General features: G+C 38.8%; 1 pseudogene; it reads left to right on the top strand.

Moving 5' to 3' along the window:
• On the top strand, positions 250 to 1,376 carry RSL24D1P9 (ribosomal L24 domain containing 1 pseudogene 9; annotated as a pseudogene).
• Positions 1,377 to 5,961: the final 4,585 nt, after the last annotated feature.

Raw genomic sequence — 5,961 nt, 5'->3', positions numbered from 1 at the left:
GGGAAAACCTCCCTGGGGTAACTTTGAGCAGAGACCTGAATTAGGTGATCAGCAAGGGCGAGGTTACTAAGGAGGAAACATAGCTGGGGTGTGCAGCAAACACCAAGGAGGCCAGAATGCTTGGACTGAATTCAACGAGAAACAGCAGGGTAGAAAATTATGTTGGGAGAGAATTGGTGCTGGATCATAAAGAAACTTCATATGCGAGGAACAGGAATTTGGATTTTTTAAATAGTAATATACAGCCATTCTCAAGTTTGCGTTTGGTCAGTGGGGAGCCACGTGGGTTCAACATGCATATCAGAAGTGTTATTTCTGGCCGGGCGCGGTGGCTCACGCCTGTAATCCCAGCACTTTGGGAGGCCGAGGCGGATGGATCACGAGGTCAGGAGATCGGGACCATCCTGGCTAACACGGTGAAACCCCGTCTCTACTAAAAATACAAAAAAATTAGCCGGGCATGGTGCGGGCACCTGTAGTCCCAGCTAGTCGGGAGGCTGAGGCAGGAGAATGGCGTGAACCTGGGAGGCGGAGCTTGCAGTGAGCCGATATCGCGCCACTGCCCTCCAGCCTGGGTGATAGAGGGAGACTCAGTCTCAAAAAAAAAAAAAAAAAAAAAAAAAAAAGTGTTATTTCTTTTCGGGGCCCATCTACCCTGGCCACGACATGATGTTTGTCTGCAACAATTGTAAGGTGTTCAGATTTTGTAAATCTAAATGTCATAAAAACTTTAAAAAGAAGTGCAATCCTCGCAAAGTTAGGTGGACCAAAGCATTCCAGAAAGCAGCAGGTGAAGAGCTTACAGTGGATCATTCATTTGAATTTGAAAAACATAGAAATGAACCTATCACATACCAGTGAGAGCTATGGAAGAAAACTATTGATGCAATGAAGACGGTTGAAGAGATCAAACAGAAACACCAAGCTAAATGTATAATGAACAGATTGAAGAAGAATAAAGAGCTACAGAAAGTTCAGGACATCAAATAAGTCAAGCAAAACATACAGCTTATCTGAGCCCCTCTTGCAGGCAAAGGGAAGCAGTTGGAAGAGAAAATGGTACAGCAGTTACAAGAGGATGTGGACATGAAGATGCTTCTTAAACATCTCTGTAATCATTTCTTTTATGTACATTTGAAAATGCCCCTTGGAGACTTGGAACTGCTCAATTATTAGTTTATTTTTTACATAAGATCACTTAAATGAAAGGAGATTAAAATATATATTTCCTACAAAACATCAGATACACGGATGTTAGATTGCATCTCAGTGTTAAACCTTCACCGATAGATGTACTTACGTAAATCATGAAAATTCTACTTATAACTATAGAAGTGAATTGTGGACATAAAATGCTTATGCCATTTGGATAATGGCACTAGGCAGCATTTGTATAATAACTAATGGCAAAAATTCATGGCTAGTGATATGTAAAATAAAATATTCTCTGCAGAAAATATTCTCTTTATTAATGTTATAGAAGGGGAGGATACAACAAGGAACTAACAACTTGTATGACAGTGTCAAATATTATTTTGATTTTAGTATTTCCTGTTTGGTTTATTTGCATCTTAGAAGAGCATAATGACATTGTTTGATGAAGCCTAATTATGCTGGACTGTTTTGACCTTGTTTAACCCTTCTGATAGGTAGTTGGGGATGAGAATTGAATAATCTTTGCCTGGAGTGACCCTATACTCTAGAATTTCCAATTTGGAGAATACTCAGTTCTAACTTGTGATTCCTGGTAGAACAAACTTTATTTTTCTAGCCTAGCAATAATCCAGAAGCAGAGGAATCCCAGTGCCTTTTAAAAGCTGTTATGTGGCTTTCTTTTAAAAACGCTCCTGATTTTGGAAAGTAGAATTTATGGGTAAAATACTTGTTCATTATTTGCACATAAAATAAAACCACTTAAAAAGTAAATAAGAAAAGTACTACACAGCCATGGAAGAGCTAAAAAGAACAGAATGTCATGACCTCCTTTATGTTCTTTTTTTTAAATCATTCTGGCTACCATATGGGAAGAAACCATAGAGAAGGATAAGTGTGGAAGATGATGTTGGCTGGAACTAGGGTGAGGATAATGAAGAACATGAAAAGAGGTTAGAGTCAGGTAGTGCTGTAAAAGGAGACTCAAAGTGCTTTGCTGATGGATTACAAATAGGATGTGTGAGAAACATACTATTCAAGAATGACAACATGGCTTTCAGCCTGAACATCTTACTGAATTGTGGTTGCCATTTACCAAAATGGAGTTCCTGACATAGATGTCAGAGTCTGTGTTCTATTATGCTCTCAATCTCTAGCCCACAGAACAGTCGATGTCACATAGGAGGGGTTCAATGAATTTAAATGATCAGATGAATGCAGTGATTAGTACATGCATATATACACAAACATGAATTCAACTACCCTGCTTCCCTTTGGCTTTTGCTGTGGTTTTCAATTATTTTAGCTTTTTTCAAATGAAATCTTAATTGGAACCAATGTAAGACAGGCAAATTGCAAAATTTTACCAACTAAAATTTATAATTTGACTTCATTTGTGATATTTGCCTATTATGAAGTCAATCAATGAAGCCAGATGATTCTGATGACCACAGATATTGAAAACTAAATGTTATGGATAACAGTTGCAGTTTTCTATAAGCTCTAATTTCCAATATATTTCTGTTTTGTTTGATCACATAAGAAGTGGTTACAAATGGCAAAAGTTTCTAATGTGTTGTGTGCCAGTTACTAACACCTTTGGCTCCATGTCGGAGTTAAATGTCAGTAGCTTAACCATAAGGGAATTTATTATTGATTAACAAAAGCCAAGAAATACAGAGAAGTATACCAATTAGAAACAGCACTTAGAAGACTGGAACCAGTGCTCCAAAGTAGACAATCTGGAACTAATTCAATAGCTCAACAATGCCATAAAGGACCAAGGCTTTCCGCCCTCCCATTCCACCATCAGCAGGCTGTCCTTCCACCCCTGGAGGGCCACTTCATGGTCATTCAAATGTCATCTTGAATTGCAATCTTCATAATCCCTACATGTCAAGGGAGGGACCAGATGGAGGTAATTGAGTGGTTTCTCCCATGCTGTTCTGATAATGAGTGAGCTTCTCCCATGCTGTTCTTCTGATAGTGAGTGAGTTCTCAAGAGATCTGATGGTTTTATAAGGGGCTCTCCCCCCTTCACTTGGCACTTTTCCTTCCTGCCACCTTGTGAAAAAGATGTCTTGCTTCCCATTCACCTTCTGCCATGGTTGTAAGTTTCCTGAGGGCTTCCAAGCTATGCCTAACTGTGAGTCAATTAAACCTCTTTCCTTTATAAATTACCCAGTTCCGGGCAGTTCTATATAGCAATATGAGAATGGACTAATACAGTCATGTTCATCACAACACCATAGAAAGCAGGAGCAAAGAGGCATCCAGGACAGAAGGAAACCGTTTCTTTGTAGACAACCCTCTCTTTCTATTAGAAAACATCTCTTCCAGAAGCCTCCAACAGAGTTCTCTTTAGTCCAATCAGCCAGATCTGGGCCAGGTGCCCACTCTCAGACCTTCACTAAGCTACAGGACCCTTTGCCTAATAGCTAAACAAGACCAGAGAATAATTTGAAGAAACTTTTTAATAACTAATCTGGAAGCTTGAAAGGCAAGTGGCAAAAACATTTGGTGTAAAGTGGAATAAACACTCCTTCATTTATAAAACTGGGTCATCTCCTGCTGTTGACAGTGGCAAAAGGCAATTTTGATTGGAGCTTTTCTGAAGACTTCAGAAAGTGGAAATACAAATTGATTGACATACATACACACACACACACACACACAAATACTAAAGATTATGTTTTCCCATTTTTCTTCTCAGAATCCCACTCATAGTAGTCCAAATCTCTCTTCTCTTTCCCAAGAGCCCTCTTTAAGAGCATCATCTTCTCCTGACTCTTCCCCTCCCTCAACCTCTTTCCAAAATCACTGGTCCTGATTTCTCCATTTGCTCACCCCAATCTCCACTATCTTGATGTATGAAAGGAGTCAGCAAACTTGGTACCTCTCTAAGGGTGGAGAAGGACATGACCCATGGGATGCACCCCTGCTTCAATATTTTTAAGTCTTTCACTTGATAATAATGAACCGTTCTCATTGCCCCTCACAGATACCGGTCAAACCAGAAGTGTCTCACATTAGCAATAAGGGTAAAAAAATTACATACCATTCAACATTATCAATATGTAGCATGTTATGAGTGAACCCACTAACCCACTGACTACAGCAACATGACATGAACAGGCTCTGAACAATGAGCCCAGGGTCCTGCCTGGCATCTACTTTAGTATGACCCACATATGCTTTAGGGCTAAGCTCTTTTATACAACTTTCTGTGATTAGTTAGATGCAGTCTTGAATTTTTTGTAAGCTGGTAGTATTTTTTCTCAAGTTAAAAAGTATACCAAAGATGGTAGAAAAAGCTTTATCTTGAAGGTTGCACTACTACACACACACACACACACACACACACGCACACACCACAGAGAGAGAGAACCTGACAACACAAAGAAAGATAGTAGTCACTAATATTAACTTTAAAATAGAAAATATTTACTGTGGGTCTTTTTCTTTAGTCTATAGTTTTTAGATGAGTTAAGGATATACTTTTTTTTTTTTTAAATCCTAGATTCATCTCATGGCCGGGTAAACATGAGTTGCAACTAGTTTTTCACATTATTTTTCCAGAGACCTTTGTAAATACTTAAATGTATTAACCAAAGAGGAATATCATGTTAACACGTTAGCAAGAAAGACAGGTCTTCCAATAAATTCCCAACCCTGCCTGTGTACAAGGGTTAAAATAAAATCAGGCAATTTGCTCTGTGAATTCCATGCAGTTGTCCCCTCTTTAAGAGCTATGTTGATTCTCTTTCCACTGGAAGAATTTTAAAATGTAGAAATTGAGCAAAAAAGACTCTGTGCCTGAGTGTGGAAAAGACCATGTCTCAAATCAATAGAAGACCCCACTCCCCACCATGCACAGGCTATTTGAAAAACGTATTTCCTGGAATTGTGGTTGTATATCTCAAAGGCAAAGACTGGGTCTCTCTTTCTTCTCCACCTTGGACAAGATAACCTAGTGATAATAATAATAATAATACCAATAAGGCAGAATGGTTGAACTATAGGAGAGTCTTGAGTCTCATTTTCAGTTCAATTTTCAGCATCAAAAGTTCAAATTATGAAGCATCACCTCTGATGAAATTGAAAACTGAAAGACTACCTGTGATTTCAAACCAACCTGAACTGAAATTTTCTGGCTTAGAAACTCTTCAGAAATTCTTTATGCACTTTTGATTTGAAGTAATAACTTCATTTTAAAATAAAGTAGCTATAGATGTTGAGGTTGACTTGCTTTTAATGACTGTGGGTTTTCTCAACCCAACACAGGACAACTAGCCTGGCCTTAGTCATTGCGCCAAACGAGTTAATTAACTCCATGGCTACTGTCCTATCCCTATTCTTTGACACAGATGACAGATAGGAAAAGTTATTTGCAAAAGCAACTCCAAGCCCCAATTTGCCTATATCCCTTAAGCCCCTTCTATACAGAAACTGGAGCTGCTTCTGTCTGGCCCTGCCTTGCTCTCTGCCCCCTTAGCTGAGCCACTTGATATCTTTGCAAGCTCAGACCTTACCCAACTCTCTCAGCCCAATGGCTCATCAGGCAAAGGAAATGTATGATTATAGATGTTCTGTCAGTATCTGCAGCTGGTTTTGTTTCTCTTAATCTCCATTTTCTACTCAATTCATCCACAGTTACCTGGATCATAAGTAACTGTATTCCAAGACATAGCAATAAAAACTTCATGCAATGTTTTTCATAGTTTATAAAGCGTTTTTCCTCTTTTTAGAATCATATATCCCAAGAGCTAGAATTTAACCATAAATTATGCTTTTCCTCATACTTTAGTT

Source organism: Homo sapiens, chromosome 18 (assembly GCF_000001405.40).
Source record: "Homo sapiens chromosome 18, GRCh38.p14 Primary Assembly".
In the NCBI taxonomy this organism is placed as follows: Eukaryota; Metazoa; Chordata; class Mammalia; order Primates; family Hominidae; genus Homo; species Homo sapiens.
Note: the sequence above shows the minus strand (reverse complement) of the source record. Positions and strands in the feature narration are given on the sequence as shown.